The following is a 25,517-nucleotide window of genomic DNA, read 5'->3' on the forward strand; positions in this document are numbered from 1 at the left end:
TGAAGATAAAGGAGTATATAATTCTCAGAGTTACAACATCTGTCTATAAAAATAGTGCAATTGGGATATACTATTTTAGTAAGAAACTCATTAAGTGTAATTTTAAAAGCTGCTGCTTTTTTCTTAAGTTTGACATTCCAGTAAACTCTTAGGAAAATGTCCTTCCAGTTGCTTTTCCTCTAAGTGTCTAGAAGTGGAAGTACATTAAAATTAAAAGCAGAAAGTCCCTTAAATTCCTTTTAAGAAGTCCATCCTGTTAGTCTGACTCCTAGAAAGGCTATGGTTGCTATTACTTTGGGCTGGAACAAGATTACAAAAGACCTCAAGAAGAAGTGGAAATTATCATGGGAGTTTTCTGTCACTCTTATAGTTTATGGCCTTTTTGTTCTTTTTTTAGTCCATTAAACATTTCTTTTTGCCAAGAGGTCCTATCTGTAAAAGGAAGTCTTTGATAATGATAGTTTAAAATGCTATGTAATGAGATACTTATATGCAAAAATCCAAAAAAGCTTTTTTATTTCTATAATAATGATAATAGCAAACAAATTATAGTGAACAGTAAACAATAAGCTAATTATAATTATGTGAATTGCTTTCTCCCTCACTGATTCCTTCTATACCTATTATTTTATTTCTCTGTTCACAATATTCCTGTGCTATAAGGGAGACTGCTAAATTTGCTCTTTTTTAGATGAAGACTTAGAGACCTGTAAGGTTGATATGACTGCCTCAAAGACACATGGTCGCGCTGTGGCTGAGTCGACACTCAAGGCCAGTTCTCTGTGTTTCTTTTTCAGTGTGACTTGATATAGCTTGTATCTTAAACACTGCATTTTTCTTATGTTCTAGGTTTCTCCTCTGCCAACCCCTCCTGGACCATTGTCAGCAGTTGAACGACAAAGGCTGTGAATCTGCATCCTAGTCTTAGCAGTCCCTCTGATTCTCATGATGAGCTCACCTGCACAGCCTGGTCAGTCTGGTTGCTTCTTAAACTGTTAATAGACTTCATGTGAAAGATGTTGCTTTGTGTTGTTTCAAACCAAGTAATTTAATTTATGAAGGAACTTTTTTTTTTTTGGACAAAGATTGCTTAATGTAACAAATTTTGAATTTTGCATTCGATAGCTAATTCTCTATTGCTTAACCCAGTTTGCTTCCTGGACAACTGATTTGATTTGCATTGTAGTCTGAGCATGGGACTTTAATTCTTCTGCTTCCAAGGTAACATTCAGATTGAACTTTATGAAGTTATGAATATGAACTATTATATAGGAATCCATTTTTCACCTGTAATCTTTCTGTCCTAACATGTGTCTGTATGCTTTTAAATTATACTGTGGGGCTTTGGAAGTCAGTTTGTGGATTGACTCCACCTCCATCTCTTTGACACACAGGAAGGATATTTTTCCTCCCCACCCTTCTTTGCTGCCATTCCTGTTTCCTATATACATATTTAATTATAATCTCAGCACCTGCTTCCTCCTATTCCAGTGATGTGTGCTGCTCATGTAGTGCTGTGATCAGCACAGCCAACACCCGTTCCTCCAGGAACAGGCTGTCATTTTTGGAGCAAACACAATCCAAGTTTTGGGAATGATGAAGTAGGGTCAGATACCACATACTAGTAACAGACAAGTTTTACAAGAATTTTCTGCTTGGATACTTACAGAAGCATTTATTTCTTTATAGATTCCTTAGCATATTGATATCCTTGGTTTATTGAACTAAGTTGAAGCTTATGTACTATCATACTCAGGGCTTATAAGGGAGACAACTTGCCAAGATTTTCATTCCCTGGATTGCCACACCCAAGTTAGCTGTTTGGGAATTCCGCTGTTTCATCAACCTTTCCCCACATCCCCAACAGGCCTCCAACTTGTATGCTGAATTTGGAACTTGATTCTAAATGGTGCAGTCCAGAAATCCCTGAGTCTTTAGTCACAACCATGTTTGATAATTGGCATGTCACTAGGTTAGGCAGATGGCAGTTACTTACTTATGCCTGTTAGCTCTGAGTCTTTATTGCCTAGTGGTTCTCAAACTTTAGCATGCATTGACATCACTCGGAGAGTTTGTTAAAACAAGCCCTATTCTCATAGTTTTTGATTTCGTAAGTCTAGAGTGGGGCACAGGAATTGTGATTTTTACAAGTTCCCTTGACAATGCTGTTGCTGCTTGGGGACCACACTTTGGGAATCACTGGTTTAGCTTCTTCTGCCCATTTCTCACCCCATCCCCTACCAGCCTCTACAGACAACCTTGTTTAAGTGTGTTCTGTGAGCGGCATTGCTTATTACAATTATAGTCTAGTACTATTATTCTTTCTGTTGGGATGAACTTAAATTAACATTTACCTTATATAGGTGTATATTGCATTTTAAATATTATGTATATTTATTTGTATATAAATTCAGTGTTTCAAAATTGGATTGTTTAAAAGAGGCATTAATTTAGAACCACTGTGGTCAAGTATTTTTTTCTTGTGATAATATTTGGCAGTGGATGTTGGTCTACCCTGCTCCCCAAGAATGTTGATTTTATAAAATGAAAATCTCACTTGAAGCTGCTATTTTGATGAGGAAATTCTTGCGAGTTGTGATAATTGTTCAGTTATGAGGAGAGAAAAGGTGATGGATAAATAAGACAACCATTGAATGAAGCTCACTTGACTTTAGGGTCACCAAAATTTCCTCGTGTACTTTTTTCTTATAAATCATTCTGCTGTGTTGACAATAACATTATGCAGAAGTCTCAATCAACTCCATTTGGGAAGTTTTTATGAATGAAATCTGAAGTTGAGGAAAGTGATAGTAAATGTGCCAGGTGGGTAGGAGTTTCTTCTATTTATTGCAAGTAAAAAACCATGATCAGAGACCTGAAATTCACTTTGCATGGATAAAGGAAAATGTTCCTGCCACAAACATAAAAAAAAATTTTCTCCTGTTATTAGCCTGCATCTTAGGGTGCCGTATATATTCTGAGAAATAACCTGATTGTTTGATTTAGAAAAAAATATGTTTTTCTTACATCTTTTTTCCCCACTATCTAAAAAGAGAATTAAATTGGTCTTATGCAATCATCATCCATTTATTTTGCTTTTGTTCCACAAATGGCTCTAAGGAGTTATTGTGCACCAGAAAGAAAAATAGACTCACTTCAGTAGTTCCAGAAATTCTTTAATAGTCCATGTTTCAGACTGAGTATGTTTGTCTTCAAAATTGGTTCTGGTATAGTGTGAATTCTTATTTTTCCCATACATTAACATCATTCTTAGAAACGTTCTCCATCCATATTCAAATATGGTTGATATGAAATACAAAATGCCGCCGTCTTAATCATGCATTCAGTCAAACAATAAGTGCTGATTTTTGTATATAAAATTTACTAGTTTTTATTTTAATTTTGCTGCCCAGTTCTGTTCAAAGTTAGAGCCTTGGGTATTGCTTTTGGGCACTGAGGATCCTGAATGGAGGAAAGACTATCTGGATAAGATTGGCAGCTAGCTGCTGCAGTTGAGCTCTTCATTCAAAACTTATTAAGCATCTAACTTGTGCCAGCCAGTGTGTTACCCAATAGGGACACAACAAGCACTAAAACATAGTTTCTATCCTTAGGGACAGCACCCTTTCATGGGAGAGACAAATAGTAATAGCTTTAGTCCATTTAGTGTCTTAAGTATTTTAATAAATTTAGGACCAGAAATTTATTTCCTCTGTACAGCAGTATGGATACTATTTCTAGTAATGTAATTTTTATCAGAATTGCCAAATCTCAGAAGGAAGGATTTTAGGACTTATCTAGCATTTTCAAAACATGTCAGATAGTAAAAATCTCCTGAGACTTGTTAAAAATACAGATTTCCAGACTCCTCCCTGAAAGAGTATCGTGTGGTAGCCTGGGGGAAGGATACTGGATTGTAGAATGTATATTGCTCTTTGCTATGACTTGGCAAAGTGTAGAAATGCTCTTAGTCCATTCAACAGCACTAGTGTTTCATATTTGGAGACTATAAACACAAAAACACATCATAAAGTCTTATCTCAAGTAAATGTTTCTCTTGTGAGCAAAACTATGCTAATTCAGTTATTTTGTTCTCTGATGATAGATAAATAAAAAGCTAACACTGGCTAGGTGCAGTGGCTCATGCCTGTAATCCCAGCAGTTTGAGAGGCCTAGGTGGGAAGATTGCTTGAGCCCCGGGGTTCGAGACTAGCCTGGGCAATATGGTGAGATCCTATCTCTACAAAAAATTTTTTAAAAAATTGCTTGGCATGGTGGTGCATGCCTGTAGTCCCTGCTACTTAGGAAGCTGAGGTGGGAGGATTGCTCGAGCCCAGGAGGTCAAGGCTGCAGTGAGTGAGCCATGATGAAGCCACTGCACTGCATTCTAGCCTGGGCCACAGAGCAAGACCCTGTCTCAAAAAAAAAAAAAAAGAAAGAAAGAAAGCTAACACAGTGGAAACCTAGAGAAGGCAATAATTTGAGGGGAACATTCTAGTGGCTTTGCGTCTATCTAGGCCATCTCATTTTTATGGGGAGGTGGATGGACCAAAGAGATTTTTATGGAGTGCCTTTATTTTCCTCAAAAGAAGTTTAAGCATATTTTAACCCAGGGCAGCTTTTTAGTCCGATCTCAAGATTATAGAAAACCTAATTTCAGCCTGAACGTTTTTAAATAAATTGGGCTACATCAACCCTAACATGATTTTTAAATTTGATGAATCTATTTTTTGTAATTAATTTTGATGAAAACGCATCCAAAGGAATTTTCCAAGCATAGAACACAATGTGCCTGTTGCCCTTAGAATTGTGCAATGCTCTGGCCTTGTGGGCTTCTAGGTAAAGTGGCCAAAGCTGTGTTGCAAAGTCCTGTAACATTAGTTTTCAAAGCCCCTTGTATAAAGCTAGCTCATCTCTCTTTTCACCATTGTGGGAAGTACTCTACTCATATGAAGTGAGAGGACCAAGCTATTTATAGAAGTGAAAGGTTTATAGCAAGATCTTATATTCTGTTCATTTTCTCGTATTCTATTCATTTTCTTATTGGCAAGTCTTGGGCAAAAATTAATTAAGAGATTTATCTTCATGCCTCTGTTTTGCTAAACAGCTGAATTCCCCCATAGAAATGTAGAGTACATGTAACTAATGATCAAAAAGTTCTTTGAAATATAAATTGTTATGGAAATGCTAAGTAGTATAAACAATTTGGGGGCAAGCATTAATAAAAGCTTCTCTGCAAGCATTTTTAAAGAGGACTAATAAAAGCTTCATGGTTCAATTAATACAGCACAACATCAGGTTTTTTAGAAGCATATGGGACCCAGAAGGCCTGCCCCTGTTTTTAAAATTTACGAACTCTTTAATGATTCACCATTTTTACTCCAGTGCATTACCCACAGTGGTGCCATTTAGCCATTAAGTAGGAAACTAAAACCAGGACAAAGCTACAAACAAATATCATAATGTCCAAGTGGGTATTTTTTCTTCAGTTTGTTCATAGTGTGTTACCAAAAAAATGAATGTTAAATGAAACAGAGTCTTAGGGCAAATCAAATAGGTTATGGCTTCCCTAGATGAGTATGATCAGTTAGCTTTTTAATGAAATACAGGTCAAATCCCATGACAAGTAGCTCTACATAACTAAAATATTTTCAGGCCACTGGCCAATTATCTATTTCAAGTAATATTCAAGAAAATTATTCCAGGATAATAAAACAAATTAGTTTTTTGATGTTTGTTGTAGCAGAAGTTGATCACAGGGTATGGTATTAATGGGAAACACTGTATGTTAAAGTTATTAACTATTGTTTTGGATTTTTTTTTTTTTTTACTACTTTAACTTCACAGTTAAGTGATTCATTCTTTTGCCATTTGTAAGTCAAAACTTCTCAATCTGATATTCAAGTTTGAAACATAAACCAAATGAAGCATTTTATTCATTCTCTAGTTTTTGAAGGACAGTGCTTTAATAAGTGAGGCATAAACCTTTTCTGAAAATGTTCAGTATAAATTTGTTTTGAACATTTATTTGTTTTTATATTTGCTTTTCACAATTAATTTTGGTGGGTAATTCAACTTATATAATTTTCATTATTGTAACACTACAAACAAACTCCATAATGCAGGCCAAACAGAAAAGGTTATTTCTCGTTCATATAAAGACTGAGTAGAGAGCTGCTGTTTTTCTAATGGCTACCCTTTGCCCCGGACAGCTTCTAACTGGTTTGTGCTTCTTCAGTTCATGTATTCTAAGGTCATTGTGCATCTCCGCATCAAGCTGGTGGGAGGGAAATTGAAGAGGTGCATTGAGTGTGAGAGGTTTCCAAAGGTACATCACTTTTGTTCACATTTCGTTGAGTGGAATTTAGCCACGTGGCCATACCTAACTACAAAGGAGGCTGGGAAAAGTAGTCTAGCAGTACTCCAGGAAGAGGAGGAGACAGGTTTGGTGAACAGCTGGCCTCTCTCTACCACATTTGTCTTAAAATTTTATACCTAGGACTGCAGATACGGTATTGCTTACCAAGAGGTGCAGTATTTTATAATGCACTCTTGATTTAACCAGTCATTAAAAAGTTAAGTAATTTTCCTTTGAAGAGATTGAAACACATTAAAATCAGGGCAGATCAGCTCACCAACATTTCTAAGAGTTGCCTAAGCCTTTGTTTATGAATCATGCAGAATAGATAATGCCCAGTGTAGCTATTAGAAAATTCAAGTTCCTGTTAGTGGGAACTCTGCAGAAAATGGGAGTAAAATGTATGCTGAATATTATATGTCCTTAATTAGTGTTTAAAAATAATGTCAATTTATCTGAAATTATAATTGCACATATGCTGAGGAAAAAGTACTTTAAACTTTATAATCACAATTCTTATGTTTGTTCTTTATTGCATTTTGGGGTCACGTTTTTCAACACCTCTGTAGTTTTAAGTATTATGATGAAAATCTAGGCCAAATATACAGTGGTTGATAAATACTTGTTTTACACTGATCTTTTCATGAACACTACTATAAAACAATGCTAGACTATATATTTTCTTAAGCCCTGTAAGCAAAATCTTGCTACCTCTGCAAATACACATGTACAGCCCTTTGTTTATAACATTATGTGGAACCTTTATGGAGGATTTTTTTGTCTGTATAGATTGGAGTTTACTCTTCAGAGTACAAAAACTCTGTGTGTGTGTCTGTGTGTGTGTGTGTACGTGTGTGGTGCATGTGTGCTTGTGTTGCAGTACTATAATAACTCTAGGGAAACACAAAGGTATGTGGAACCATGTAACCTGTACTTTTACACTAAATATCCCCCAAGGCTTTACTTTCTGTGGTTTTCTGCATATTTCTTAATTTTTGTCATATTTTGAGAATGTCAACGTATAGCAGTTTTCTCCATTTATAATTCACTGCCTCTAACTTGTTGTAGGGTTAGAAAGCTAAGAATTGTGTTAAATAAAATTGTTAAAAGATCACAAGTTCTGAGGAGGTGCAAATGTCTTGTTTTTTTTTTTTTTTTTTTGTGTGTGTGTGTGTGTGTGTGTGTGTGTGCGCGCATGTGTCTCTGTGTGTGTGTTTTAAATAGAGTTTTGTTCTTGTTGCCCAGGCTGGAGTGCAATGGCATGATCTTGGCTCACTGCAACCTCCGCCTCTTGGGTTCAAGCAATTCTTCTGCCTCAGTCTCCCAAGTAACTGGGATTACAGGCATGTGGCACCATGCCTGGCAAATTTTTTGTATTTAGTAGAGATGGGGTTTCACCATGTTGCTCAGGCTGGTTTTGAACTCCTGACCTCAGGTGATCCACCCACCTCGGCCTCCCAAAGTGCTGGGATTACAGGTATGTGCCACTGCACCCAGCCTGCAAAAGTATTTTTTATGAACAAAATAGAAGTACTTGTTTTTCTTACATACTGTAATTGCATTTTAATTGTCTCCTTATCCACTGCACCCCTCTTATTTTCTCGGTTCTTCTGTCTTTAGTCTATAGATTTACAGAATTTTGAGTTTCCAGCGGGTGAGGCATCGTTATGGTTTTAATTTTGCCATACTTTTCCTTGCAGTTATGATACATCAGTTTTTTTTTCTTTTTTTTTAAATTATACTTTAAGTTGTAGGGTACATGTGCACAACGTACATGTTTGTTAACATAGGTATACATGTGCCACGTTGGTTTGCTGCACCCATTAACTCATCATTTACATTAGATATTTCTCCTAATGCTATCCCTCCCCCTGTCCCCCACCGCACGACAGGCCCCGGTGTGTGATGTTCCCCGCCCTATGTCCAAGTGTTCTTATTGTTCAGTTCCCACCTATGAGTGAGAACATGTGGTGTTTGGTTTTCTGTCCTTGTGATAGTTTGCTGAGAATGATGGTTTCCAGCTGTATCCATATCCATGCAAAGGACATGAACTCATCCTTTTTATGGCTGCATAGTATTCCATGGTGTATATTTGCCACATTTTCTTAATCCAGTCTATCATTGATGGACATTTAGATTGGTTCCAAGTCTTTGCTATTGCGAATAGTGCCGCAATAAACATACATGTGCATGTGTCTTTATAGCAGCATGATTTATAATCCTTTGGGTATATACTCAGTAATGGGATTGCTGGGTCAAATGGTACTTCTAGTTCTAGATCCTTGAGGAATTGCCACACTGTCTTCCACAATGGTTGAACTAGTTTGCACTCCCACCAACAGTGTAAAAGTGTTCCTATTTCTCCACATCCTCTCCAGCATTTGTTGTTTCCTGACTCTTTAATGATTGCCATTCTAACTGGTGTGAGATGGTATCTCATTGTGGTTTTGATTTGCATTTCTCTGATGACCAGTGATGATGAGCATTTTTTCGTGTGTCTATTGGCTTCATAAAAGTCTTCTTTTGAGAAGTGTCTGTTCATATCCTTTGCACACTTTTTGATGGGCTGGGTTGTTTTTTTTCTTGTAAATGTGTTTAAATTCTTTGTAGATTTGTCAGACGGATAGATTGCAAATTTTCTCCCATTCTGTAGGTTGCCTGTTCACTCTGATAATAGTTTCTTTTGCTGTGCAGAAGCTCTTCAGTTTAATGAGATCCCATTTGTCTATTTTGGCTTTTGTTGTTGTTGCTTTCGGTGTTTTAGTCATGAAGTCCTTGCCCATGCCTATGTCCTGAATGGTATTGCCTAGGTTTTCTTCTAGGGTTTTTTTTATGGTTTTAGGTCTAACATTTAAGTCTTTAATCCATCTTGAATTAATTTTTATATAAGGTGTAAGGAAGGGATCCAGTTTCAGCTTTCTACATATGGCTAGCCAGTTTTCCCAGCACCATTTATTAAACAGGGTATCCTTTCCCATTTCTTGTTTTTGTCAGATTTGTCAAAGATCAGATGGTTGTAGATGTGTGGTGTTATTTCTGAAGCATCTGTTCTGTTCCATTGTTCTATATCTCTGTTTTGGTACCAGAACCATGCTGTTTTGGTTACTGTTGGCTTGTAGTATAGTTTGAAGTCAGGTAGCGTGATGCCTCCAGCTTTGTTCTTTTGGCTTAGGATTGTCTTGGCAATGCGGGCTCTTTTTTGGTTCCATACGAACTTTAAAGTAGTTTCTTCCAATTCTGTGAAGAAAGTCATTGGTAGCTTGATGGGGATGGCATTGAGTGTATAAATTACCTTGGGCAGTATAGCTATTTCCAAGATATTGATTCTTCCTATCCATGAGCATGGAATATTCTTCCATTTGTTTGTATCCTCTTTTATTTCATTGAGCAGTGGTTTGTAGTTCTCCTTGAAGAGGTCCTCACATCCCTTGTAAGTTGCATTCCTAGGTATTTTATTCTCTTTGAAGCAATTGTGAATGGGAGTTCACTCATGACTTGACTCTCTGTTTGTCTGTTATTGGTGTATAGGAATGCTGGTGATTTTTGCCCATTGATTTTGTATCCTGAGACTTTGCTGAAGTTGCTTATCAGCTTAAGGAGATTTTGGGCTGAGATGATGGGGTTTTCTAAATATACAATCATGTCATCTGCAAACAGGGACAATTTGACTTCCTCTTTTCCTAATTGAATACCCTTTATTTCTTTCTCTTGCCTGATTGCGCTGGCCAGAACTTCCAACAGTATGTTGAATAGGAGTGGTGAGAGAGGGCATCCCTGTCTTGTGCCAGTTTTCAAAGGGAATGCTTCCAGTTTTTGCCCATTCAGTATGATATTGGCTGTGGGTTTGTCATAAATAGGCCTTATTATTTTGAGATATGTTCCATCGATACCTAGTTTATTGAGAATTTTTAGCATGAAGGGCTGTTGAATTTTGTCTAAGGCCTTTTCTGCATCTATTGAGATAATCATTTAATTTTTGTCATTGGTTCTGTTTATGTGATGGATTATGTTTATTGATTTCCGTATGTTGAACCAGCCTTGCATCCCAGGGATGAAGCCAACTTGTTCGTGGTGGATAAGCATTTTGATGTGCTGCTGGATTTGGTTTGCCAGTATTTTGTTGAGGACTTTTGCATCGATGTTCATCAGGGATATTGGTCTAAAATTCTCTTTTTGTTGCGTCTCTGACAGGCTTTGGTATCAGGATGATGCTGGCCTTATAAAATGAGTTAGGGAGGATTCCTTGTTTTTCTATTGATGGGAATAGTTTCAGAAGGAATGGTACCAGTTCCTCTTTGTACTTCTGGTAGAATTCGGCTGTGAATTCGTCTGGTTCTGGACTTTTTTTGGTTGGTAGGCTGTTAATTATTGCTTCAATTTCAGAGCCTGTTATTGGTCTATTCAGAGGTTCAACTTCTTCCTTGTTTAGTCTTGGGAGGGTGTATGTGTCTAGGAATTTATCCATTTCTTTTAGATTTTCTAGTTTATTTGCATAGCGGTTTTTATAGTATTCTATTCTCTGATGGTAGTTTGTATTTCCGTGGGATCGGTGGTGATATCCCCTTAATCATTTTTGATTGCGTCTATTTGATTCTTCTCTCTTTCCTTCTTTATTAGTCTTGCTAGCAGTCTACCAATTTTGTTGATCTTTTCAAAAAACCAGCTCCTGGATTCATTGATTTTTTTGAAGGGTTTTTTATGTCTCTATCTCCTTCAGTTCTGCTCTGATCTTAGTTATTTCTTGCCTTCTGCTACCTTTTCAATTTGTTTGCTCTTGCTTCTCTAGTTCGTTTAACTGTGATGTTACGGTGTTGATTTTAGATCTTTCTTGCTTTCTTTTGTGGGCATTTAGTGTTATAAATTTCCCTCTACACACTGCTTTAAATGTGTCCCAGAGATTCTGGTACATTGTGTCTTTGTTCTCACTGGTTTCAAAGAACATCTTTATTTCTGCCTTCATTTTGTTATTTACCCAGTAGTCATTCAGGAGCAGGTTGTTCAGTTTCCCTGTAGTTGTGCAGTTTTGAGTGAGTTTCTTAATCCTGAGTTCTAATTTGATTGCACTGTGGTCTGAGAGACAGTTTGTTATAATTTCTCTTCTTTTACATTTGCTGAGGAGTGCTTTACTTCCAACTGTGTGGTCAGTTTTGGAGTAAGTGCGATGTGGTGTTGAGAAGAATGTATATTCTGTTGATTTGGGGTGGAGAGTTCTCTAGCTGTCTATTAGGTCTGCTTGGTGCAGAGCTGAGTTCAAGTCCTGGATATCCTTGTTAACTTTCTGTCTCGTTGATCTGTCTAATATTAACAGTGGGGTGTTAAAGTCTCCCATTATTATTGTGAGGGAGTCCAAGTCTCTTTGTAGGTCTCTAAGGACTTGCTTTATGAATCTGGGTGCTCCTCTATTGGGTGCATTTATATTTAGTATGGTTAGCTCTTCTTGTTGAATTGATCCCTTTACCATTATGTAATGGCCTGCTTTGTCTCTTTTGATCTTTGTTGGTTTAAAGTCTGTTTTATCAGAGACTAGGATTGCAACCCCTGTTTTCTTTTTGCTTTCCATTTGCTTGGTAGATCTTCCTCCATCCCTTTATTTTGAGCCTATGTGTGTCTCTGCACGTCAGATGGGTCTCCTGAATACATCACACTGATGGGTCTTGACTCTTTATCCAATTTGCCAGTGTGTGTCTTTTAATTGGGGCATTTAGCCCATTTACATTTAAGGTTAATATTGTTATGTGTGTATTTGATCCTGTCATTATGATGTTAGCTGGTTATTTTGCCAGTTAGTTGATGCAGTTTCTTCCTAGCATTGACGGTCTTTACAATTTGGCATGTTTTTGCAGTGGCTGGTACCGGTTTTTCCTTTCCGTGTTTAGTGCTTCCTTCAGGAGCTCTTGTAAGGTAGGCCAGGTGGTGACAGAATCTCTCAGCATTTGCTTGTCTGTAAAGGATTTTATTTCTCCTTCACTTAGTTTGGCTGGATATGAAATTCTGGGTTGAAAATTCTTTTCTTTAAGAATGTTGAATTTTGGCCCCCACTCTCTTCTGGCTTGTAGGGTTTCTGTAGAGAGATCAGCTGTTAGTCTGATGGGCTTCCCTTCGTGAGTGATCTGACCTTTCTTTCTGGCTGCCCTTAACAGTTTTTCCTTCGTTTCAACCTTGGTGAATCTGACAATTATGTGTCTTGGGTTTGCTCTTCTCGAGGAGGAGTATCTTTGTGATGTTCTCCGTATTTCCTGAATTTGAATGTTGGCCTGTCTTGTTAGTTTGGGGAAGTTCTCCTCGATAATATCCTGAAGAGTGTTTTCCAACTCATTTCCATTCTCCCCATCACTTTCAGGTACACCAATCAGATGTAGATTTGGTCTTTTCGCATAGTCCCATATTTCTTGGAGGCTTTGTTTGTTTCTTTTTACTCTTTTTTTCTGTAAATTTGTCTTGTTGCTTTATTTCATTAATTTGATCTTCAATCACTGATACCTTTTCTTCCACTTGATCGAATCGGCTATTGAAGCTTGTGCATGCGTCATGTAGTTCTCATTCCATGGTTTTCAGCTCCATCAGGTCATTTAAGGTCTTCTCTACACTGTTTATTCTAGTGAGCCATTTGTCTAATCTTTTTTCATGGTTTTTAGCTTCCTTGCGATGGGTTCGAACATCCTCCTTTAGCTTGGAGAAGTTTGTTATTACTGACCTTCTGAAGCCTGCTTCTGTCAGCTCATCAAAGTCATTCTCCGTCCAGCTTTGTTCCATTGCTGGCGAGGAGCTGCGATCCTTTGGAGGAGAAGAGGTGCTCTGGATTTTAGAATTTTCAACTTTTCTGCTCTGGTTTCTCCCTATCTTTGTGGTTTTATCTACCTTTGGTCTTTGATGTTGGTGACCTACAGATGGGATTTTGGTGTAGATGTCCTTTCTGTTGATGTTGATGCTATTCCTTTCTGTTTGTTAGTTTTCCTTCTAACAATCAGGACCCTCAGCTGCAGGTCTGTTGGAGGTTGCTGGAGGTCCTCTCCAGACGCCGTTTGCCTGGGTATCACCAGTGGAGGCTGCAGAACAGCAAATATTGCTGCCTGATCCTTCCTCTGGAAACTTCATCCCAGATGGGCACCTGCCTGTATGAGGTGTCATTCTGCCCCTGCTGGGAGATGTCTCCCAGTTAGGCTACATGGCGGCCAGGGACCCACTTGAGGAGGCAGTCTGTCCGTTCTCCAATCTCAAACACCATGCTGGGAGAACTACTGCTCTCTTCAGGCCTGTCAGAAGGGGACGTTTAAGTCTGCAGAAGTTTCTATTGCTTTTTGTTCAGCTATACCCTGCCCCTAGAGGTGGAGTCTACAGAGGCAGCGGGCCTTGCTGAGCTGTGGTGGGCTCCACCTAATTCTAGCTTCCTGAGCACTTTGTTTATCTACTCAAGCGTCAGCAGTGGCGGACACCCCTCCCCCCTGCCAGGCTGCTGCCTTGCAGGTCCATCTCAGATTGCCACGCTAGCAGTGAGCAAGGTTCTGTGGGTGTGGGACCTGCCAAGCCAGGAGTGGGATATAATCTTTTGGTGTGCCATTTGCTAAGACTATTGGAAAAACGCAGTATTTGGTTGGGTGGTGTCCCGTTTTTCCAGGTACCATCTGTCATGGCTTCCCTTGGCTAGGAAAGGGAATTCCCCAACTCCTTGCACTTCCCAGGTGAGGTGATGCCCTGCCCTGCTTCAGCTCACCCTCCATGGGCTGTACCCTCTGTCCAACCAGTCCCAGTGAGGTGAACCAGGCATCTCAGTTGGAAATGCAGAAATCTCCTGTCTTCTGTGTTGATCACGATGGGAGCTGCAGACTGGAGCTGTTCCTATTTGGCCATCTTGGAACGGACCAGTCCATAGTTTTATAATGCATGCCTATGTGTTGATTTGTGTTGCTTTGGAGTTGCTTTAATATCCAAATGAAAGACTCATGACCATATTATTGGTGAACTTTTAAAAAATATTGTATTGATTTATAGGAAATTGATAAGCTTTGAGGTAATCTGTAAAATTATTTTTAACCCCCCCCCCCCTTTTTTTAGAATAACTTCCTGGCACTTGATTATATAAGGCTCTTGCTGCTTATGATAGATGGTTGCTCCTCACATATCATTGCATAATTAACCTTTTCTCCCAGGCTCTTAATGTCCAAGAAAATGTTCTCTTCATACCAGTAATGTAGTTCCACTGGAAAGTGTTCTGGGTGAGCTGGGGATTTTTCCTTTGGAGCTGGAATTTGCCCTAGTAATTCTGCCTTCTTTGGAATTCTGTGAGTTCTGTGAGAGGGCAGATAATCATAGTGGTGTATGACCAAGCACTCACCTTTTATCTTTAACTCTCAGAAGAAATTGTTTTTCAGAAAGAAATGTCAAAATGACATTATTCATGAGAAAAACTAGTCATGAGTTTTGGACTCTCTAGGAATGTAAACATGTTTAATAAAAGCTGGTGACAGTTTTTCGGTCTGCTGTTACTGGAAAGCCTGCTTGATTTCCTTCCCTGTGTTTTTCTGGTCTTGAGATCTCCAGTGCTTTCTGAAGATCCAGGAATGCCGTACAAATGGGAAAAGCCAGACTGTTATCTTGAACCTCTGTTTTTGAAATCTCTGTCTGATAAGGAAAAAAATATTGCAAGTCATTGTAGTTACTTGTTTGGTTTGTCACTGGAATTCCAAATATTTGCTTGGTGGTTCATGGACATGTAAATTTTGGGATATGTTACTATTGTTTAGGGTATACTGTCTGTAAAATAAGTTATTAACCCAGTGACTGTTAACTAGATCTTCCAAAAGCCCTGTCTCCTATCATTTTATGTGTATTGAAAAATTATTATAATTAGAGATTTTTTTAAACTCTTAGAAAATGAAAGTATACAGCTATGAAAATTCTGTTTGGGTAATTTTTTAAAAAATTTATTTTCAGTTCAGAGGTACATGTGCAGATTTGTTATACAGGTAAACTGTGTGTCACAGGGCTTTGGTGTACAGATTATTTCATCATGTTTGGATAATTTTTATGTTATTTTTTAATGCATTTTTATCCTTTTGTCTGTATTATTGTGCTTCCTTTTTTATTAAAGAAGAGTTGGATGTATCTTACTTTGGCTTTATGTTTAAAGTGAAACAGTAAATTGAAAGATTTTAACAGGTCGTGGTATGTCAATGAAAGAACCTAGAAATTAGCAGAAAAATGCAGGAAGCCAACTATAGATATTGGAAAAATAATACATACCATAACTTGAGTTAGGTAATGTACACTATCGAGTCTTTGAATTTCAATAAAGTATGTCAAAGTAGACATTGTATGTCATTTTCCCTTCTGTTGGGAGAACTGATAATCCGCCTACCCATCTGCCTTCCTACCTTTCTTAGTTTTCTTTCTTTTTCTTTTATTCTGCCTAAGTCCAGAAAAGATTTGGGGTCTATATAAGTAAGTTATGGAAAATAAAATACGTGAGGAGGAAGGGAAATGAAGGGAAATTGGGTACACCCTGTTAGTACCTGCATTTAAATTCTGTGAAGTTGCTTGAAGACGGATGGATCTGTGTCTGAGCTTCCTGATTAGCAAGTCTGTTGTCTATGGTGCGATTAATCTCTTCTCAGCCTAACTCTGATATAGTCACTGCCCTGTATAAGAAATGTCAGTGGCTCTCTATCACATCTATTTAAGGTATATAAGAACCCGTACCCTTTTCAGGCTTATCTTATTTTTCTCCTCAATGAACCCCACTCTGTTCAACATGTAGAGCTGCTTACCTTCCCCAGGTCCAGTTTTCTTGCTTGGAGGCCTTTGAATGACCCTTCCTCACCACTGGGAGTGTCCTGTTTACTTATCTTCAACACCCAGCTCCTACTCCATTCTTCTGTGAGGCCTTCCTGGGTGACGCTGACATTTGTTACCTCTCTCAGTTCTGGAACTTACCTTAGTACTGGGGTTGTCTTCTCTAATAGGCTTAGCTTTTTGAGGGCAAGGGACATCTAAGTACATTTTGTGGGGTGTATATAGAGTGAAGCAGTTGGCAGCTGTATTTATGGTTGCTCTCTTAGTTAAGTAATATACTGCCCAGCACACAAAAGGAGCCAAATAAGTGAAGAATAAAGGGCACTTTGTGAGGAGGCTGATTATAGTGGTGCTAGGGGCATGGAATTGGGGAGGAGGGAAGCAGTTGAATATACCTGAGCAAAACCAAACTGTTTCATATGTGTCATGAATCATATCCCTTTTCTTTTTGCTTATTCATTTGTTGACTTTCGGTTCTTTTCACCTCTAGTGCTATCCACTGAACTTCCTCCATCCCCCTACCTCCCCTTCCCTCCCGTTCCCTCCTCCACCTCCCCTCCCCTCCCCTCTCCTCTTTGACAGAGTCTTGCTCTGTCACCCAGGCTGGAGTGCAGTGGCACAATCTTGGCTTACTGGAACCTCCACCTCCCTAGTTCAAGCAATTCCCTTGCCTCAGCATCCCGAGTAGCTGGGATTACAGGCACATGCCACCATGCTGGCTAATTGTTTTGTATTTTTAGTAGAGACAGGGTTTCACTATGTTGGCCAGACTTGTCTCGAACTTCTGACCTCAGGCAATCTGCATGCCTTGGGCTCCCAAAGTGCTGGGATGACAGGCGTGAGCCACTGCACCCGGCCCCCCTCTTTCTAAGGTGGCTTATCTATTCATTGAACAACAAACATTGCAATAGGGTAGTCATTGTTTGCAAGACTTGTGGTTTCATACTGAGTTCTCTAAATGTGGGGAAGTTGCTAAGTTTGGCTCTTCTTCAGCTAGCACAGCGGTAGAAGCAGACCTACCACCCTCTTTCCTTTTAGTAACTTGAACTTCTCCCTGTTTCAATGCTTATAAACCACCTCTCTCCCAAAACAAATATGTATTGTGGTTAAGAATAGTGGAAAGAGTGACATGATTTTTAATTGTGGTTGAGCAGGAAATTGTTTTAAGTTAGTTTAGAATTCATTGATCCAACATTCTTTATACTTTTAAAAAGTAATACAGTTTTGCATACTGTATAATTAGCAGTAACTTTTAAATATACTACGTTTCTGAGGACCTTCAGTAAAATACATAGAAAGGAAAACATCCGGCTTAAAATTTGTGACTTTTCAATCTGTATACATTTTCAGTTCCTCTTATTTAAAGTGATAGACTAATAAATATTTTAATATAATGGTTGAAGTCTTTATTAAGATTAAATTAGGATCTTAAACTTTCTGTGTGTCTCCATTAAAGATGTGTTTTTGGCTTCATTATTTGACAGTGTTGTGGTATGGCATTTAATGGAGAACAAGATCTCTTACTTTGGAATGTATCTGGTCAAATGGAGTTCCTTTCATATTTGCCCAGGAAGCTTATTTTTCTAAAGATTATGGAAATAACAGATGTGGAACAAGCAAGCACTGCATGTCTTTCATTCAGAGTTCTCTGAGGAACCACCTTGGGTAGGCTTTTGTTTGTCACACACATAGCAAGTATGTCTTTACCCTGACTGATGCAATAGTCCAGCCTCCTGTGGGGTATCATCCACTAACAATAATGCCATAACCCATTAGTTGATTGCAAACTCTCTGAATCCATAGGGACTTGCCCCAGTCCAAATGAGTGACTAATTCTTAAACTACAAGGTAAAGCTGAGGTCCTAAGGGAGGAGGGACATGTTAAGGTTTGACTGTTTATTTTGCTTGTTATTACTGCAGGATCATTAAAGAAATGTTTATATCCTGTTGGGGTTCTATGTTCTTAACCACTATATAAGGATGAATAAGCTTTGTTTTTTTTGCTTCTACCTCTCTTATATTTCTTTCCATTCTCTACCCTCCCTCTCCTAAGGAAAAATGGTGTTCACACTCATTGGGTCTAAATAAACCCAAACGTCTTTTCTTTGAATATTTTATTACCTTATCTGTTTATCTATTAATGAGAAATTATACAAATGCATATTTGAAGTTCTTAGTAAAAGCCCAAGGACTTAAACGCAGCTCTGGAAACACCTGTCATCTATCTTTTATTTAGTAAATCTCCCTTTGTCCCAGATTCCTCATTTGGAAAATATGTCATGAATTTGTTATGTTGGTATCATAAAAGATGTAATTGTACAAGAGATAGTAAAGTATCACATGTTCATTTAGAATGATCACACATAAATATGTGCTTTTTTCTCTCAACCGTGACCTGTAACTATCCTTTTTTGAATGTCACAAAAATCTCATGTCTATAAGCCTCTCCACACTGATGAGATTGAGGCCTAAAACCATCATCTCCCAGCTCTGTCACAATTTCCAGATTTGTCTCTGTCTTTAGGTTTGCTCACTTTTGAGCACATAGAATTATGCCATCCTTTTCAAATTACATGTCAGCTCCTTACTTTATCCTACCCCCAGTAGTGAGCGCCTTAGTTGCCTTGCTTCATCTTTTGATGTGTTTTTACACTGTTTGTCATGCCAGCATTTCTTGTGAGCACCCTCCCCAAGACACATACACACACACACACACACACACACACACACACACACACACACACACACCACATTCTTAACCTATGGACATTTGCTGCTGTAAATTCATTATATATGGTGCATTGAAAATGTTTGCTCTGTGTTTCTTTCTGGACCTTGTGCTAGCAACTTTGTTTTGTCATTTTTGTCAAGTGATTTTCTTTTTTCTTTTTTTTTTCCAAATCAGCTAAGTCACTGATAAGATTGATGAGTATGAGAGATTGATCATTTTACAATTTCCATCCTGCGGCCATATGAGAGGTTGTATTTGGTACCTAGATTAGATCAAAGAGTGTCAGAACTCAATGGGCTGTATAACATGTGGCAGGTAGCAGAGTAAATTGGAAAGAATAAGAATACCAGAAGGAGCCAAGAAATACCTGTTGGAAACCCCAATCTGCCCTAACTAACTTTGGGCCTTTGAGAACAAGTTACTTTATCTCTCTGGATATCAGTTTTCTATCTTGTATTAGTTTCCTGTGGCTGCTGTAACAAATTACCACAAACTTGGTGGCCTAAAACAAAGGAAATGTATTTTCTCACAGTTCCAGAAGCCAGAAGTCCAAAATCAGTTTCACTGGGCTGAAATGAAGGTGTCAGTAGGACCTTGCTCCCCACAAAGACTCCAGGGGACAATCTGTTTCTTATCTCTTCTAGCATCTGGTGGCTGCTGGCATTCTTTGGTTTGTGACTGTATCACTCCAGTCTTTGCCTTTGGGGTCACATTGCCTTCTTTTGCGTGTGTGTCAAATCTCCTCCTCCTTCACTCTTATATGCATATGTGTGATTGTATTTTGGGACCACCTGGATAATCTGAGATAATCTCCCCATCTCAGAACCTTTAAGCATGTCTGGGAAGTCCTTTTTTTTCCCTAAGAGGTAACATTCACAAGTTCTAGGGATAAGGATGTGGGTATCTTTTGGGAGGTTGTTATTCAGCTACTAAACGCCTGAAATAATATCTGAAGTCATGCTGGCTTGGCTTGTAATTGCTATTCATTTCATTCATTTGTTCATTCACCAAACTTTTATTTCATGCCTAATATGTGCCAGACACTGTTCTAGGCAATAGGAATAACCCACTGATCATGCCTTTAGTAAATTCATTATATTGTTGGTGAGATTACCATACAGAATAAATGCTAAAATAAAGGTAAAAGAGACAATTTAGACTATTGGATTAATTCTTTGTATGTCTCCTTTTGCACAGTTCTGGAGCACAAGCCACCAGCATGCCTCAGTACTTGTAAATCATTTCAGTAACTACAAGGATTATGTGTAGTGTAGCCTGTGGACCAGAAAGTATTTTACAGAGGTCAAAGCACGCATCAGCTTAAATTCAATTCAGGTGTATATATTGAGTACAAAAATAAAGTTTAGACCTCCACCACAATTATACAATTTTTGTCAACCCTGGCTGCACATCAGCATCAATAGCAGGCCTTTACAAACTACTCATACCTGTCCCCCTACCCCACCTTGTGCTTGGTTCTAGGTGGAGCCCAGGGGTCCTTTAAAAAAATCTTATTAGCAGATTCTTACATGCTGAGGGCATTGAACAGAGAGAACCTGTGGTCTGAAGAATAGGAAAACCAAATACAAGGGTACTGATACAAATGCAAGTCAAAATACTGTAAGTTTTCTCAGGATATATAGAAACAAAATAGTTTGGATACTCAGAGGAAAATGAGATCACATCTGGCTCAAGGGAAATTTGAAGACGGAAGTGTTTGAAATATCCTTGATGGATGTGTAAAATTTCAACAGGCATTGATTAGGGGAGGGTGGAGGAAAGGGAATCCACAGAGGTCTGGAGTAGGGGAAAAGGTGTGTGTCATGGCTGGCAGCAGGGCCCAGGAGCCAAGATCTAGGCACCAATTCTCTCTCCTTTTGCTGAGACTTTCTGGCCTGGAAACTTGAAGAGCTTGAGAATTCTAAATTTAAATCTGGTCCTCTAGGTCATTGTGAAGGTATATTTTTTCAAGGCAGGAGGGTAAAATGTATTTTATTTGACAGGTAATAGGTTGATATATACTTTTTAAAAATTTAGAAACATGATTTCTGGGCTTCCATTTGTACTCTTGCTCTATGTCGTACAAGTATTAGGAGCAGGCTTCTGTGGGGGAAATAAAAATGGAGAGGAATGTTTTAAAGTGTTTCAAAAGAAGAATAGCCAATATGTGATGACTGACGGGAAAACAGACAAACATAGTGGGAGGTAACAAAGGTAATTTAAAAGTTCAAGAATGACAGTAGAATTAGTGGGAGTGAGACATATTGATGGAAAAGATAGCTAGCATTTGTTGAGTTTTTCTCACAAGCCAGGGGCTTTCACTGCATTTTCTTTATGTCAATGAATTATTTTCATAAGCCTTGAGGTAGGTACTATTCTTATCCCATTTTACAGACGGGAAATTGAGACTTTGAGGGGTTAGTTATCTTGCTCTATCAAGGTCTTACAGTAAATCTAGCTCTTGGATCCAGGTACCTTAATTCCAGAGTTTGTATTGTTAACCACAGTTCTGCTAGTTGTCAGGAGATTGGCTTGAGAATAAGGCTGATGAAGAGTAGTTGAATTCAAAGACAGGAATTTAAGAATCATCAGAAGAGAGGTCACAGTCAAAAACTTGGGTAGTCAGCAAGCATCACCTTATCAATTAAAAAACGGAAGAAAGAGAGAAGAGTAGAGGGACAAGACTAAATGTCACTGAAGCTTTCAGGGCAGTATCTTATACCTGTTTATGGCTGCCAGTCACTTAACATATGATTTTTTTTTTTTTTTTGAGACGGAGTCTCACTCTGTTGCCCGTGCTGGAGTGCAGTGGCGCAATCTCGGCTCACTGCAAGCTCCGCCTCCTGGGTTCACGCCATTCTCCTGCCTCAGCTTCCCGAGTAGCTGGGACTACAGGTGCCTGCCACCACACCCGGCTAATTTTTTGTATTTTTAGTAGAGACGGGGTTTCACCGTGTTAGCCAGGATGGTCTTGATCTTCTGACCTCGTGATCCGCCCGCCTCGGCCTCCCAAAGTGCTGGGATTACAGGCGTGAGCCACGGCGCCCAGCCATGGTTTGTTTTTTTAAAAAAAGCCCTTGAATATTTAAGTAAGCAAATGAACCAATCCCTCAATCGTGAATTTTTCTACCTGTGCTTCAGATTCTACATACATAATAATTACGATGGCTAGAAGGAGACAAATCTAAAGAATTTCCTCAACTTTTGCTGCCTGTTTTTGTGACCCTGATTCAGTTTCAAATCCTTGGGGATCTTCCTTGGATTCCATTTTTTCACCTTACTCCATCTTTTCCCCCACAGAAGATAGCTGCTTTTGGAAGGTTATCCTAGCATAAGAAGATTGGCAGAACACTTCACTACTTTTGTCATTTTAAACAGTTTCTTTAATTTAAATTTTTCATTTTTCTGTAGAGATGGGGGTCTCGCTATGTTGCCTAGGCTGATCTCAAAATCTTGGCCTCAAGAGATCCTCCTGCTTTGGCCTCCCAAAGTGTTGTGATTACAGACATGGGCCATCACACCTGGCCATTTTAAACAGTTTGTAAACTAAGGTATTAAAGTAACAATACATAAATGGTAAAGTATCCTGGGCTGTTGAGTGTCTTTCTCCTCCCCTCCTCTTCGAGTGCCCTGAAACTTTTTTCATTCTACCATTCTCACAATGAGTATGCATAAAAAGTCACTATTAAATAATCCAGGAAAATAAAACTATTGCCTTTAAAATATATAAATTATACATTTTTTTGTTACCTGTTATTGCATGTTGAGTATTCCTCATCTGACATGCTTGGGACCAGAAGTTTTTAGATTTTGTATTTGTTTGGATTTTGGAATATTTGCATATAAATAATGAGCTATTGGCCGGGCGCGGCAGCTCATGCCTGTAATCCTAGCACTTTGGGAGGCTGAGGCAGGCAGATCACCTGAGGTTGGGTGTTCGAGACCCGCCTGACCAACATGGAGAAACCCCGTCTCTACTAAAAATACGAAGTTAGCTGAGCGTTGCGGCACATGCCTGTAATTCCAGCTCTACTTGGGAGGCTGAGGCAGGAGAATTGCTTGAACCCAGGAGGGTGAGGTTGCGGTGAGCCAAGATCTCTCCATAGCACTCCAGCATGGGCAACAAGAGTGAAACTCCATCTCAAATAAATAAAAAAATAAATAATGAGCTATCTTGGGGATGAGACCCAAGTCTAAACATGAAATTAATTTATGTTTCATACATACCATATGCAAATAGCCTGAAGGTAATTTTATTCAATATTTTAAATAATTTTGTGCACGAAACAAAATTTGTATACCTGAGGTAAGGTGAGGAATTTCCACGTGTGGCATCATGTTGGTGTTCAAAAAGTTTCAGATTTTGGAATATTTTGGATTTCAGATTTTCAAAATAGGTATATTCAACTTATATTAACCAGATCAAATGTTCTATGCTTGTCTTGTTCTCTTGACCCTCGGATTATTTCACAATCAGAATCCAGCATATTCATTTGAAAGGTGTAGGGTATTGAATAAAAAGGATTTCAGAACAGCTATATAGTTGTGTCAGATATTTTAATATTATAGTACTGTATTTTTGTGCTATTGTATCAGAGTCACATTTTTATTAAAATTTATGATTTACACCTAATCTCTTAAAAAATACTGCAGAGCTTGCCTTAGTCTGTATCCTGCATGTCCTATTTCTTTTTCTAGTACTGTAATTGAGTTGCTATGTAAAATGTGGTCTGCCTATGTAATTCTTCCCACCTAACTTTATTAGGAAAATTAATAGAATAGCAATATCACAAAAGTGTTTGATTAGAATCATGGGAAATGAAACTAATTTGCAATAAAGCCCAAGACTGGCTTTCAAAGCAAGTGATTTTTATGGTTAGAAGTCAAACAACTTTACTTACAGACAGTGATCGAGGCAAAAAAAGTCCATTTGTTATTTGAAAGACATCAGGAAAGCCACTGATTCTCAGTTTGGACTATACATTAAAATAACCTGGAGAACTAAAAATGAAAACCAAAAGTCTGAACCAGGACCACCACCTCAATGATACTGACTTAATTTGACTTTTATGAGGCTTAGGCGTGAGTATTCGTTAAACCTCCAAGGTAATTATAATGTGCAACTAATGTTGAGGACTGCTATTAAAGCAAGCATCAGGAAAGCACAAAGAACAGGATAAAGTAAATAAATATAAAATCCTTACCATTTAGGAGATGACATGTCCTTTCTAAAAGAGGAAATATTGTCTATTAAGTTATGAAAACTAAACTTTTAGTTCTATTTTGAAAAGAGACAAATTAATCTCATTTAAATATTGTTACAAGCATAGATAAGAGTACATATCTATACTTTTTAAAAAGCCCCTTTTTTTTCTCTTTGTATTTAAACTCACTTATCTTCTTATATTCAAGATTATTAAATCTCAGCTATGGGCCTCGTTTTCCCCTACCTTCATATTGTTCCAACTTATGAATTGAAACTGTACATTAATTTCCAAATGAATAATTTAAAATCAATGGAGTAAATGGGACACTTGCAGTCAATGAAAAAATCCAGCGATTATCTCGGGCATTTTTTTTCTCCATAAAGAAAGCATGATTACTCTTACAAAATGGTATTTTGTCACTTCGTGCAAAGTATCTTGATCATTCTGGGCCTATGTTGCTTTTTCTGTAAAACTGGGATATCACATATTGCTGAATTGCAGTGACCATTTATTGAGTGTTCATTGTATTTCAGGTTCTAAGTGTATTAAGTACTTTATATGTGATATCTCATTTTATCAGATTGAAAACACTATGGAGTAAGGACTATTTTCTAAAATCCTATTTTGAAGATGGAAAACCAAGCCTTAGAGACTTGCCTAGCTAGGTTAACATGTCTAAAGTTATATTTCTTGTTATCGACTGGGCCAGGATCTGAATTTAGGCAGTCCAACACGGTAGCCACTGGTAACAAGGTAGCGCTAACCCTCTGTGAAGACAAATTTTTCTGTTTAGCTGACTGGTTAAGACTAAAATTAAAGCTTGTACCTTCTTTACAGGGACGTTTTCCAAAAAGACAGTCTTGATATTTCCCAACTGAGCAACAGGTTTTTCTGTTGAAGCTAACAAGGAACAGGTGCACTGCTGGTGTTGGCATGTGCCGCTGGCACCGGACTTGTGGTAGGATGGTGCTTTCTGGTGCTGGTTGGGTTTTAAGGAAGGAGCATGACACTCAAAAATTCCCAAAGCCCATAAGACTCTGCCCCACTCTTCACTACCAAATCTTAGGGAAAACTTCGGGTAGGGAGAAAATAGAAGAGAGCTCTTCTGGATTAACATGAAGTGGCTTGAGGAATGTCAGGAGTGGGAAGCCAGGAAAATTTGTGGTCAGAAGACCTTAATTAAATTCCTGGCTCTGCTCTTCATGCCCTGAAAGTCACTCAACTTTTCTGAATCTCAGTTTTCTCAACTTTAAAATAGAAATGATGATGTGGTAATTGAATTCCATACTTCAAAGGACAGATGATCAAATAAGATAATGTACTGTAAAAACTCTAAATAAAGCATAAGGTGGTTTTGAAAACTGTTAATGTTAATAAAAGCAGATTTTTATTTTCTAATTGGAAGTCTTTATCTCTTTAACATGCAGAATAA

General features: G+C 38.3%; 1 protein-coding gene across 7 annotated transcripts in view, besides 5 other annotated features; it reads left to right on the forward strand.

Moving 5' to 3' along the window:
• Positions 1-25,517, forward strand: part of HDAC9 (histone deacetylase 9) — a 915,592-nt gene that overhangs the window by 74,555 nt on the left and 815,520 nt on the right. For all 7 annotated transcript variants that reach the window (NM_001321868.2, NM_001204144.3, NM_001321869.2 and 4 more), the window contains exon 2: positions 850-970. In NM_001321868.2, coding sequence (NP_001308797.1) covers positions 946-970 — 25 coding nt within the window. In that variant the 5' untranslated portion in view covers positions 850-945. The remainder of the gene's footprint in view (positions 1-849; positions 971-25,517) is intronic.
• Positions 13,563-13,712: an enhancer, noted in NCBI's record as "active region_25677". NCBI's record gives its function as "activates an Ori minimal core promoter by ATAC-STARR-seq in GM12878 lymphoblastoid cells {active_cell/tissue: GM12878}" and the evidence as "EXISTENCE:reporter gene assay evidence [ECO:0000049][PMID:35858748]".
• Positions 13,733-13,822: an enhancer, noted in NCBI's record as "active region_25678". NCBI's record gives its function as "activates an Ori minimal core promoter by ATAC-STARR-seq in GM12878 lymphoblastoid cells {active_cell/tissue: GM12878}" and the evidence as "EXISTENCE:reporter gene assay evidence [ECO:0000049][PMID:35858748]".
• Positions 16,133-16,277: an enhancer, noted in NCBI's record as "145 bp enhancer 275 fragment used in the MPRA reporter construct; PK_construct_4683". NCBI's record gives its function as "activates an SV40 promoter by MPRA in K562 cells {active_cell/tissue: K562}" and the evidence as "EXISTENCE:reporter gene assay evidence [ECO:0000049][PMID:23512712]".
• Positions 16,196-16,213: a transcriptional cis regulatory region, noted in NCBI's record as "GATA motif; enhancer activity is reduced when this motif is scrambled". NCBI's record gives its function as "necessary for full MPRA enhancer 275 activity {active_cell/tissue: K562}" and the evidence as "EXISTENCE:site-directed mutagenesis evidence [ECO:0005528][PMID:23512712]".
• Positions 16,942-17,051: an enhancer, noted in NCBI's record as "active region_25679". NCBI's record gives its function as "activates an Ori minimal core promoter by ATAC-STARR-seq in GM12878 lymphoblastoid cells {active_cell/tissue: GM12878}" and the evidence as "EXISTENCE:reporter gene assay evidence [ECO:0000049][PMID:35858748]".

This window comes from Homo sapiens, chromosome 7, assembly GCF_000001405.40.
Source record: "Homo sapiens chromosome 7, GRCh38.p14 Primary Assembly".
Classification (NCBI taxonomy): domain Eukaryota; kingdom Metazoa; phylum Chordata; class Mammalia; order Primates; family Hominidae; genus Homo; species Homo sapiens.